The sequence below is a fragment of the Homo sapiens genome, chromosome 21, assembly GCF_000001405.40.
Source record: "Homo sapiens chromosome 21, GRCh38.p14 Primary Assembly".
Taxonomy (NCBI): domain Eukaryota; kingdom Metazoa; phylum Chordata; class Mammalia; order Primates; family Hominidae; genus Homo; species Homo sapiens.
Genome location: NC_000021.9, coordinates 27,738,880 through 27,752,003, shown reverse-complemented (window position 1 = coordinate 27,752,003; position 13,124 = coordinate 27,738,880). Strand labels below are relative to the sequence as shown.

The 13,124-nt window shown below is 36.8% G+C and overlaps 1 long non-coding RNA gene across 1 annotated transcript in view; it reads right to left on the bottom strand.

The window, feature by feature from the left end:
- Positions 1 to 770: 770 nt before the first annotated feature.
- The window catches only part of LINC00113 (long intergenic non-protein coding RNA 113), a 28,855-nt gene continuing 16,501 nt past the window's right edge, over positions 771 to 13,124 (bottom strand). Inside the window, exons 2-4 of the long non-coding RNA NR_024357.2 lie at positions 8,500 to 8,611; positions 5,972 to 6,186; positions 771 to 932 (exon numbers count right to left, since the gene is read on the bottom strand). This is a non-coding gene — a long non-coding RNA (long intergenic non-protein coding RNA 113). The remainder of the gene's footprint in view (positions 933 to 5,971; positions 6,187 to 8,499; positions 8,612 to 13,124) is intronic.

Sequence of the window (13,124 nt, the reverse complement as noted above, 5' to 3'; positions counted from 1 at the left end):
CTCATGGCCTATGTCCCGAATGGTATTGCCTCAGCTGTCTTTCAAGGTTTTCTTAGTTTTGAGTTTTACATTTAGGTTTTTAATCTCTTTTGATTTAATATTTGTATGTGGTGTAAGGAAGGGGTCCAGTTTCAATTTTCTACATATTGAGAAGTGAAGCCAGCTGGACTTCCTGGGTCAAGTGGGGACTTGGAGAACTTTTCTATCTAGCTAGAGGATTGTAAACGCAATCAGCGCTCTGTGTCTAGCTCAAGGATTGTAAATGCACCAATCAGCACTCTGTAAAAATGCACCAATCAGCACTCTGTGTCTAGCTAAAGGATTGTCAATGCACCAATCAGCACTCTGTAAAAACGCACCAATCAGCGCTCTGTGTCTAGCTAAAGGAAAATAAACGCACTGATCAGCCCTCTGTAAAAACGCACCAATCAGTGCTCAGTGTCTAGATAAAGGATTGTAAACACACCAATCAGCACTCTGTAAAATGGACCAATCAGGGCTCTGTAAAATGGACCAGTCAGCAGGATGTGGGTGGGGCCAAATAAGGGAATAAAAGCTGGCCACCTGAGCCAGCAGCGGAAAGTGCCCTTCCATGCTGTGGAAGCTTTGTTCTTTCGCTCTTCACAGTAAATCTTGCTGCTGCTCACTCTTTGGGTCTGCAACACCTTTATGAGCTGTAACACTCACTGCAAAGGTCTGCGGCTCCATTCTTGAAGCCAGCGAGACCAAGAACCCACTGGAAGGAATAAATTCTAGACACAATATGGCCAGCCATTTCTCCCAGCACCATTTATTGAACAGGGAGTCCTTTCCCCATTGCTTTTTGTCAGGTTTGTCGAAGATTGGATGGTTGAAGATGAGTGATCTAATTTCTGGGTTCTCTATTCTGTTCCACTGGTCTATGTGTCTGACGAAGGTCTAATATCCAGCACCTATAAGGAATTTAAACCAATTTACAAGGAAGAAAAAAAACAATTCCATTAAAATGAGGGCAAGGGACATAAACAGACATTTCTCAAAAAAAGATCCACATGCGGCAAACAATCATGAGAAAAGCTCAAAATAACTGATCATTAGAGAAATGCAAATCAAAATCACAATGAGATACTATCTCACAAAAGAATGGCTATTATTTAAAAAGTCAAAGAATAACAGATGCTGGTTAGGTTGTGGAGAAAAAGGAATTGTTTTACACTGTTGGTGGGAGTGTAAATTAGTTCAATCATTGTGGAAGAGTGTGGTGAGTCCTTAAAGACTGAACTACCATTCAACCCAACAATCCCATTGTTGAGTAGATACCCAAAGGAATACAAATTGTTCTATTATAAAGACTCATGCACACATATGTTTATTGTAGCATTATTCACAATAACAAAGACATCAATCAATCCAAATACCCATCAATGATAGACTGGATAAAGAAAATATGGTACCACGGACTACTATGCAGCCATAAAATATGATGAGATAATGTCGTTTACAGGAACATGGATGGAGCTGGAAGCCATTATCCATAGCAAACTAATGCAGAAACAGAATACCAAATACTGCCGTTCTCAGTTATAAGTGGGAGCTAAATGATGAGAACACATGGACACATACAGGGGAATAACACACACTGGGGCATATCGGAGGGCAGAGGATGGGAGGAGGGAGAGAAGGGGGAAAAATTACTAATGGATACTAGGTGTAATGCCTGGGTGATGAAATAATCTTTGCAACCAACCACCATGACACAGGTTTACCTATGTAAAATACCTGTACATCCTGCATATGTACCTTTGAACTTAAAATAAAAGTTAAACAATTTACAGAACACGGGAGACATCTGTATTTTGAACTTTGCATAGAACTGATGTTTCTTTATAATTAAATTTAGTTTATAATTTACTTTTTGGGGGACCAATATCAGAGCAGTGATGTTGTGTTTTTCTGTGTAAATCAGCACATGATAAAGATTTGTCCTAGTACAGTTGATGTTAAATTTACTCAGCCATAGAGCTTTCTGACAGATTTTTCTATTATAGGGTTAATTGTTTTTCTCTTCTTTATTAAGTATCTTAGGGAGATTTACCAGATAATGTGCATAAACTGTCACCTTTAATCTGGAAGCTTCCCTTCCTACTTAAATTTTCTTTGCACATATCTGTCTTTGGAAATGAAGGCTCTCGTCTTTGTTTACGGGTCAGAAAAACTGGGAAAAACCCAGGCTCTTCCACTTATTCGATGTTTGGCACAATATTCTTCTTGAGCCCAAAACATGGTGTTATTGGTAAGCTTGCTAGAAATTTAGAAACTCAGACTTTATTCCAGATCTCCTGAAAAAAATCTCTGCAGGACAAATTAATCTAGTTTATTGTTCACATCAAAATTTGAGAAGTATCGTCTAACTCACCATGACTTTTCTCTCTGAGAAATATACACAACTTATTGTGTGTGATGTAAATAAAGCACTGAAAAATGCAAAAAAAAAAAAAAAAAAAAAAAAAAAAGGTAAATCAGTCGCTCTCTTGTTCTCTGGCATCTGGTTGGGTTCAGCCAGTGAACGTTACCAGCAGGTGATTTCAGCGATTGATTGGAAGTCTTAATAGTTTATCATGGAGGGTCATGTGGAAGACAGGAATAGTTACAGGGACATGAGTAGATAGTGGAGGGAAGGAAGGAATTTGGGTACTTTTATCTTTAGGTGGACTCTGGCTGAGGAATACGTTTATTATATCTAAAATATGCTCAGATATTCTACTGTTTAAGACACTGGTATATAATTATATGCTGATATTATTCAGGATAGAGTGATTATGTGATTAAAAAATGGACTTGCTCTACCAACGGACTTGCTCTTATGAGCGTTTTGGTCTACTGTGGAAGATGTATAACAACATTTTAAAACCCAAGTATGTATTATTGAAAATTATAATGAGAATGTTGACTAAAACTATTTTTTAATAAAATGAGCAATTAAAACAAGAAGAGATATCTAAGAGGAGGGGTCCAAAACAGTTGTTCCTATTCTGTGAGGGAGAGTATTCAAGAGAGACAATCAAGAAACAATACAGAGTCCAGGCGCAGTGGCTCACACCTGTAATCCCACCACTTTGGGAGGCAAGGCAGGCGGATCACCTTAGGTCAGGAGTTAGAGATCAGCCTGGCCAACGTGGTAAAACCCTGTGTCTACTAAAAATACAAAAAATATATATATATCAAGGCATAGTGGGGGGCTCCTGTAATTCCAGCTACTCAGGATGCTGAGGCAGGAGAATTGCTTGAACCTGGGAGGTGGAGGTTGCAATGAGCTGAGATCGCACCATTGCACTCCAGCCTGGGCAACAGAGCAAAACTCTCTCTCAAAAATAAAATAAAATAAAAAAGAAAGAAACAATAGAGATGAAGAGAATAGTGTAGTAGGATCTAGGGTTAAAGACATAAACAGAGATCATGTAGATTTATTTTGTTAAGTGAAAGTGGGGAAAGTTCAGTTTTATTTGACAAAGGTTAGAGACACATGCTTGGAGTTTTACCAAACAGGTGATATGAAGATATAAATTATAAATAATAATTATACTGAGCAGTAAACCAAAAACAAGTAAGTATATCCTCAGTTTTAGCACAAAATCTTTGACAAACATTTGTAAAATTTTCAGAAGTGTAATGTTTATTCTTCTAGCATTCCTAGAGTAAGATCTCTAGCAGGACCATATTGAGCCTGAAATGTTTGATCAGTTCACTCAAAATGGGCAATAGAAGCAATATTGACAAGTCTCCACTCTGTCATTAGAGATGAGCTATAACACATGAAAGAAATCAGATATTTTGGCTCTTTGATCCTGCCGTGCTTTCCAAAGTGAAGCCCACAAGATGCTATGCAGCCATTTAGTCTGGGTTCAGAATATTTTGGCACCTTTCTACACAGTAGTAAATTAATGTTTGAGGAAATAAACAATTGCATGGATGGCCCAATCTGCATGCTCAAACTATAATTAGTATTTCCACAGTTCTTTGAAGGCCCGACATTAATACCATAAACAAACAAGGGAAGATAACAGTGATTGCAACCAATAAAATATAATTTAATTTAAAAATCAACCAAAGAAAGTTAAGCTGTTTCAAGTGAGCATGCAATTAAAATAAATATATGAAGTGAGCCAAAGCAACAAAATTAATGTCTCTTGCATAATGGTTCATTATCAAACATAGTAAACACATACACACATGCTCATAGATATGCACACATGAATATGCACACATACACACACACACACACACACACACACAAAATTTTTACCTGAGACCTGGCACAATCCTGCATATGGCCCTAGCAAGAAGAGGAGAACTGAGTAAAATGGTGGGTGAAAAAGTTTAGAATTAGGCAGGACCTGGGATTAGGGAAAGGCCTGAAGGACAAGAGCCTGATATAGTTTATTAGTTAGAAATTTAAGACCACAAGTAGCTCTCAGGGTAGCTGACTTTAGTAGGCATCAGTAAGGTCCAATTTAGGGAAACACTAGTCTGATGAACCATGACAACTTTAAGTTGCGTTTTGACATAGGAAGATCATAGCAGAAATGATTATCATAGGGTGTCAAGGTCCTAGCCATCAGATGGAAGTATAGGATTAGGGAATTAGTACTAAGAGGAACCCAGAAATAGTAAGATGTCACCCCTTGTTTAGAATAAAATAAAAAGCAGGGAGGTTATAAACCAGGACTGAGACTCAAAGTGTAAAACAGAATACCAGTCAACTGAAGTGAGGTGTGAAGTCCAGCCCATATTTCTAGGAATAGGCATTAGTGCAGAATTAGAATATAGCACAAAGTTAAGGCAACATTATTGTAAATATCAAGGGGTAAATTTGAGCTCCTCATCTTACTACTGAATGGCCAGAGCATTTGTCATAAGGATGAAAGAGAACTAAGCCTATAAATGAGAGTCCAATGGTTCAGCTGAGGATAAACAAGTCGGCAGAGGTTGGGAATCAGATTGAGTTTAATGGGTAGATTGTGTTAGGATGATCAGAGACTAAAATAAAAGGATATGATCACTTTATTCATTTATCTTCATAGGTAGATAGATGGATAGAAATATAATTATGTATATGGATATAAATGTACAGATATTTTATATCTTAAACAATTTGATTGAATGTAAAGAATTTAGCACAGCTTCTTAAATATTAACTACTATTTTATTGTGACTAATATTCAAAATGTCTCTAATACTAATTTCCATGAGTCATGGTGAAACCTACCCAATTGTCCCATAGAACTGGTGTTTATGGTTTCTTTTGAATAAACATAGAAATTTACTGTCCCATCTTGAAACTTGAGAAAGTTACATTTGTCTTATGTGAGTTTCTTTATCAAGAAACCAGCCACCAAACCTCCCAGATAGCATCAAGGAATTGAAACTTACCAGATCAACACAGCTGGACAATGAGATGTTATATCCCTCGCCTGCCATTATTAACTAACCAACCATCTGCTTCCTATTGATGAACTCTGCTTCATTACCCCTCCCTAATTCCTGTTTTCCTATACATGGTTACTTTTCTTCCTGTCACATAAATCCCTAATTTTAGTTGGCCAGGGAGATGGATTGGAGACTGATCTCCCATCTCCCAGGCCGCAGCACCCAATTAAAGGCTTCTTCCCTGGCAATACTCATTGTCTCAGTGATTGGCTTTTTGTTTAGTGAACAGCAGGACCTAGAACAAACTCCTGGCATTTCAATAACAATGTTCTTTGTGACATCATCCCTGATAGCCAGGTTCTATTAAATTTGGGCACACAAAACAATTAATGTTTCAGTTAAGGTCACTAAGTAGCAAGTGGTTCTTTGAACAAAGATGTGCACGAGCAGATTTTGCAGACAAAAATTGAATGCATTATGACACTAGCCTGAAGTTATATACTTAATAGATTTGAATTTATTTCTATAGAAAATCATCAGATTTTAATAAAAATTAATCACCTACTTATTTGTATCTTCATTTTTGTGGCCACGAATGCATGCACATTAAATTGCTCCAGATATTTGATTTAATTCTCCAGTTGGGTGGGTTGTGTGATTTAGTAGTGGCCATTGAGTGGCCAAGGAATGGCTTGAAATTCAGTACGCTGATTACGAGCCCATACAATATTCCAAAGTCTATAGCATTGTGTTTTCCCATCTTCCATCTGAATGAAAGGACTACACAGACAAAGAACAAGTCAGCCAAAGGATCAAAGAGGCTCAAACCCTAAATTGCCACTGGGAGAAAAGATGCCCAGGAGAGCTGTCTAATGCCAATAATCAGATGTCTGTTCGACTACTGCTCTAGCAAAAAATAACCATTTGTCTTGTGAAGCCATTGAAATTTTTGGGTTGCCTAACCAAACCTTACTTCTAAAAGTTTAAATTTTATAATCATCTAAAGTGAAGAAGGTAAAGGATTTTAAATACTCTTAAAAACTTTAATGACTCGAGAGTACACAAAAGCAAGTGACTTTTATAGCACTTGAATAATCCATATTTACATGTATAAAAAAACTGAGCTTTTTGTAGAGAACACAAGTAAAACATCACATGTGGCATTGAATTCACAATCATTATTGCATTTGACTTCTCAGTGAATATAACATTTATAAATTATTTCAATAAGAATAGTTTTATTCCTTTGTATTTGAAGTGGCTTTAGAATAAAAGCCTTATTTAATACAAAAAGAAGTACCCAGTTATGACAAATAAACTCTAGCTATAAATTCTAGTCGACAAAGTAAAATATGTTATAAAGTTACAAATTTAAGAAAAACATTACAATATGCAAAAAAAGTTAACTAATACAATTTCAGTTGAAAACATAAGTGAAGAAAAAATTTACAACACTTGAAAGACAAAGAATCAATATCAACAGAGACTTTCTATAATTAAGGGATACAAATAATAAATAGAAAAGTCTTAAAATATTTTTATCCTTCAAAGCAAATAAAAGGCAACAAACCCCAAAGATATGAAAACATACAATTTCAAAAGTAGTCCAAGAATCAAGTGGAAAATGGCATAATTGTAACCCATTGACAGTGACAGGAGGCAGCCAAGTGCCTAGGCAGATAGGGGCGAGTACACAGCAACAGCCCACCTCCAAGCCAAAGCCTGAAAGCCAAGCTACAAGTTTAATCCTCAGACCAGATTTAGAACTTGTTCTCCCATTTGGCGTGCTTTTCTCTGATTGATTCCCACCCTTTACCTATTTTACATATACCTACTCTTTCCTAATTGGTTTTCTACACTGTTATGCCCACCTTTGAGTGGTGTGTTTGCTTTAACCTATTTTGCATACTCACAAACCAATCAGCATGCACTCCCCAGACTGTGCCTATAAAGACCCCAGACTCAGTCAGTAGATGGGGAAACAACCCTACTTCAGGGAAGAGACAACTTAACTATGGGGAAGACTACCTGCCCTTCCAGTCTCCTCTCCAGCAACCCTCTCCACTGAGAGCCATTTTAATTGTTCAGTAAAATTCTCCACCTTCACCATCCTTCAACCGTCCATGTGACCTCATTCTTCTTGGATGCCAGACAATAGCTCAGAACCCACATAGCACAGGTACTGAGAAACACTGTCACACCAGCCCTTTGCTTTTGCCAGCAGAGATCAGTCACCCCATGTGACAAGGCAAGGGGCCAACTGAGCTGCCAACACACCACTATCCACGAACAGTGGAACTAATAGAGAACTGTAACACCCGCTCTGGGGCTTTGGGGTCATGGGCATCCTCACTTGGGAGCCACCATGTTCCCCTCAGGGTGACACTCCTGGTCTGGCCACGGGCCCTGCACAGAGCATGATACTGTGTCAGTACCTGGAACGGCTGGCCAGATCCCATACTCACTTGCTCACGTGCTCCCTTTTGCAAAGGGTTGAGTGCAGTGGGCCGAGTAGAGGCCCCTTGCCATGAGCAAGCATGATAAAAACCTCTTGTTAACCTTTTGTAAATATGAATAAAAAGAAAATGGTTGAAATATTACACAATTATGAAAATGCTATAAAAGAGTGAAAGGAAATGTGCAATTTTATCCCAAAGATTTTTCATAGGAAATGTTTAGATTTAGGAAATGACTATCATCTGTTTTTACTTAGATAAAAGAATATATTATAATTATAACATATAAAGACAAGAAGTCAGTGGAAATAAATGGTAGAGACAGCACAGAAAAGTGAATAGGTTAAAACGTTGCAAGTTTTAAATGAATAAAATCTAATTCAAAGTAATTGACCTTATGAAGAAAATACTTTGACTGGAAATTTCAGTTAAGTTGTACTTCAAGGAAGGCTTGATCAGGGCTTCTGTTTGGTTTCCCAATTTCTCTCTCAGTATTTCTCACCTTGTCAAGTAGAATTTGTTCTCAGCTTAAGTTTTCTCCAAGTAAAATAACTGAAGTAGTTGCATAGTTTACATGAAAAAAAAAAATCTTTAACAGTGCCCGGAAGAGGAAAGAGTTTTCCATTTCACTACTTACAGTGAGTCTGATTGAAGCAGCTGAGATTGTTTGTCCAATCCTAAACCAGTTATCCTAAGGTGGGTAAAATATATGAATTGCCTTAGCGATCACTCGGATTCCATCCCTGGAACTAAAAGAAGAATCAATCAAATATACAAACCTTATGGCTACTACATAATGGGGGGTAGTGGAATAGCTGCCAGAAAGTCAACCAAGCATGCCCAATAAAATCACCTTCAGAAGCAATACATAGAGCAAATAACATTGAGAAAAACACAAATTAAATAGAAGAAAGACTAGACACATCCTGTCACAGAGCAGAAGAAAATAATTGAAACAAAGGAGACCATTTGCTATATAGAAAAATATATCACAAAGAAATAATCTGCAAACAATAAGTAATTTAAAAGATAGAAACAGAATACACATCAAAAATGATAATCAATAGCATAACAGAAGAAAAAATTCCACACTGTGAACGGAACTTGGATTGGAAATCTAAAACAAACACAAGAATTATCATGCTGAATGGGGAAGAACTGAAATTCTTTCCTCTAGGATCTGGAACCCGACGACTATGCCCACTTTCATCACTATTATTCAACGTAGTACTGAAAGTCTTAGCTAGAGCAACCAAACAAGAGAAAGAAATAAAGGGCATCCAAATTAGAAAGGAAGAAGTCAAACTATCCTTACTTGCTGATGATATAATCTTATTTTTGGAAAAACCTGAAGACTCCACAAATAAATGACTACAACTGATAAATTTAGTAATGTTGCAGGATAAAAAAATCAACATACAAAAATTAGTAGCATTTCTATATGACAGCAGGGAACAATCTGAAAAAGAAATATAAAAGTAATCTCATTTAAAATAGCCAAAATAAAATTAAATACTTAGGAATTAGCTTAACTAAACAAGTGAAAATCTCTACAATGAAAGCAATGAAATAGTGAGTAAAGAAATTAAAGAGGACACACAAAAAAATGGAGAGAGATTTCACGTTCATGGGTTGGAAGAATCCATATTGTTAAAATGTGCATACTACCTATAGCAATCTACACATTCAATGCAACCCCCTCAAAACACCAATGATATTCTGCATAAATTGTTTTAAAAATTCTGAAATTTACATGGAATCATGAGAGACACAGAATAGCCAAAGTTATCCTGAGTGAAAAGAACAAAACTGGAGGAATCACATTACCTGACTTCAAATTCTGCTACAGAGCTATCGTAATGAAAGCAGCATGGTACTGGCATAAAACAGACACATAGACCAATTGGAACACAACAGAGAACTGAGAAATAAATCCACACATCTACAGTAAACTCATTTGTGACAAAGGAGCCAAGAACATATATTGGGAAAAAGACAGCCTCTTCAACGAATGGTGCAGGGAAAACTGAATATCCATATGCAGTAGAATGAAACTTGATTTTTATCTCTTGCCTTATTTAAAAATCAAATATAAGTGCATTAAAGATTTAAGTCCAAGACCTCAAACTATGAAACTACTACAAAAAAAAAAAAATGGGGAAACTCTCCAACACATTGTCCTGGGCCAAAATTTCTTGAGCAATACCCTACAAGCACAGGCAATCAGAGCCAAAATGGACAAATGGGATCACATCAAGTTAAAAAGCTTCTGCACTGCAAAGGAAACAATCAACAATGTGAAGAGACAATCCACATAACTGGAGAAAACCTTTGCAAACTACCCACTTGGCAAGCGATTGATAACTAGAATATATAAGGAGCTCAAACTACTCTATAGAAAAAAAGCTAATAATTTGATTAAAAAATGGAAAAAAAGGTTTGAATAGACATTTCTCAAAAGAAGACCTACAAATGGAAAACAGGCATATAAAAAATGTTCAACATCATTGATCATCAGAGAAATGCAGATCAAAACTACAATGGGATATCAGCTCACCATAGTTAAAATGGCTCTTATACATAAGTCAGGCAATAACAAATGCAGGTGAGGATAAGGGGGAAAGGAAACCCTAATACACTGTTGGTGGAAATGTAAGTTGTACAACCACTGTGGAGAAGAGTTTGGAGGTTCCTCATAAAACCTAAAAGTAGAGCCAACATATGATCCAGCAGTCCCACTGCTGGGGATGTACCCACAAGAAAGAAAATGATTATATTGAAGAGATGTCTGCACTCCCATGTTTGTTACAATACTGTTCATGATAGCCAAGATTTGGAAGCAACCTAAGTGTCCATCAACAGATGAATGGATAAAGAAAATGTGGTACATATACACAGTGGAGTACTATTTATCCATAAAAAGGAATGAGATCCTGTCATCTGTTACAACAGGGATGGAACTCGAGATCATCATGTTAAGTGAAATAAGCCAGACACAGAAAGACAAACATCCCATGTTATCATTTATTTGTGTGTGCTAAATATCAAAACAATTGAATTCATGGAGATAGATTACAGAAAAATGTTTACCAGAAGCTGGTTAGGGTAATGCAGAAGTTGGGGGAGATGGAATGGTTAATGGGTACAAAAAATAGTTAGAAAGATTGAGTAAGACCTGGTATTTCATAGTACAATAGGGGACTATAGTCAGTAATCTTTTAAATGTGCGTTTGAAAATGACTAAAAGAGTATAACTGAATTGTTTGTAACACAAAGGATAAATGCCTGAGGGGATGGATATCCAATTTTCCATGATATGATTACTATGCATTTCATGCCTGACCAGAATGTCTCATGAACCCCATAAATATGTATACCTTATATGTACTCACAAAAATTAAAACAATACTAATACACGATAAAATATGGCAAAATAGCCAAATTTTAATGAGAAAGAAAGAAATTATCAAATATCTCAAGATGAATTATTTTTCTCAAATAAGTGGAAATTAGGCACCGCTCTTTATATTTTCCATATGCCATCTTACTTAGTTTTAATCCTCCCTGCTATAAAATGGTAGGATAAATCCTAGTATCTCCACTTGGTGCTTGAGGAAATTGAAACTGCAAAAGTTTTAAGCAACACAAGTGATAGAGTTACCAAGCTCCCATTTTAACCTAGGCCCACCCAAAACCAAAATCAGCATGTCAATGTGCCATTTAAGAAAGCAAAATGAAAGGACAGCTGCCAGAAGGCTGGATAAAAAGTAGAACTCTGGTACAACAGAATTGTTATCGATGTGAGCTTACAATGACCACGGAAACTAAATACTCATTACACAGATAAGGAAATAGGAACACCCTTCTCCCCCTCTTACCACTGAGTGACTTTCCACTAACGTGAGCCAAACTTGGGTTTTAACCAACCCACTCTCAGCAAATGAACAGCGCCCTAAAGTTAAAGAATCTCTCCTCTGTGTTCCCTGTAATAGATGCACCTAACCGACAGGTAAATATTCACAGGCTGCTCTACAACTAATAAAATGATATATTCAGTCTATTAAAACAAGTTAAAACATGACAGTGGAAATAAATTTTAGCAAAACTATTTCTAAACTATTTTAAACTGCCAAACCACTAGCTTCCTTTAATTTGGGCTTTCCCATGTTAATGTACAACATTCCTAGTGGTGGAAAAGCTTCAGAGAAAGAACAAGACACAGAAAAAAAAAAAAAAAAGAAGAAGAAGAAGAAATAATGTTCTAATGTCAAAGAGCATGAAAAATATAGAATAAAACAAGCAGAAATATGAATACGCTTTGGTACAAAAGAAGATGAGATATTGTATCCCTTCTGCCTCCCAAATCCACCAGACACAAGATATTGGCTTGAGGAGAAAAATCTTAGCAAAGGATGCCAAACAGAGTACACTGGTTATTTTATGCTACCTATTGCTAATACTGACATTGAAAGAGGCCTTTTTCCTGAGTTACTAGATTGAAATAAACATTCATTGTACAGAGGCCATTAATTTTAAAAAATGAGAATCCAATGTATGTGCTGGGGGTTGAATTGTATCCCTCTTAAAATTTGTATGCTGAAGTCCTAACTCCCATTACTTCAGAATGTGACCTTATTTGAAAATAGTCGTTGCAGATGCAATTAGTTAAGATGAAATCATACTGTAGTAGGGTGGGTCTCTAGTCCAACATAACTGATGTCCTGGAAAAGGAAGACTTGGACACAGGCACATAAACACAGGGAGAACACCATGTGAAGGTGAAGGCAGAGATCAGGGTGATACAGCAAAAGCCAAGATGCTAAAGATTGCCAGCAAGCCACTGGAAGCTAAGCTGGTGAGAAGCATGGAAAAGATTCTCACAGCCTTCAGAAGGAACCAGCTCTTCAGATATTTTGATTTCAGACTTTTAGCCTACAGAAATGTGAGATAATAAATTTCTGTTGTTTTGGCCACATCATTTGTGATACTTTGTGACAGCATCCCTGGAATATGAATACAATATGTAATACACTATCTTTTGGGGAGAGATGGTTATACAAGATGATTAATGTATGCAAACTATGGACCATAATACAGGCATAACTAATATATTTATTCTCTGGGTGGGAAAAAGACAAAATGAAGAGGAAAACGAAGACACCAGCAGCCATGTGTGCTGGGAAGCATTCTCAGGGGCTAGGCATTTCAAACCACTTTTAAAATCAGGCTGTTTTGGTTGGCACCGTAACCTTAGTGAACAGC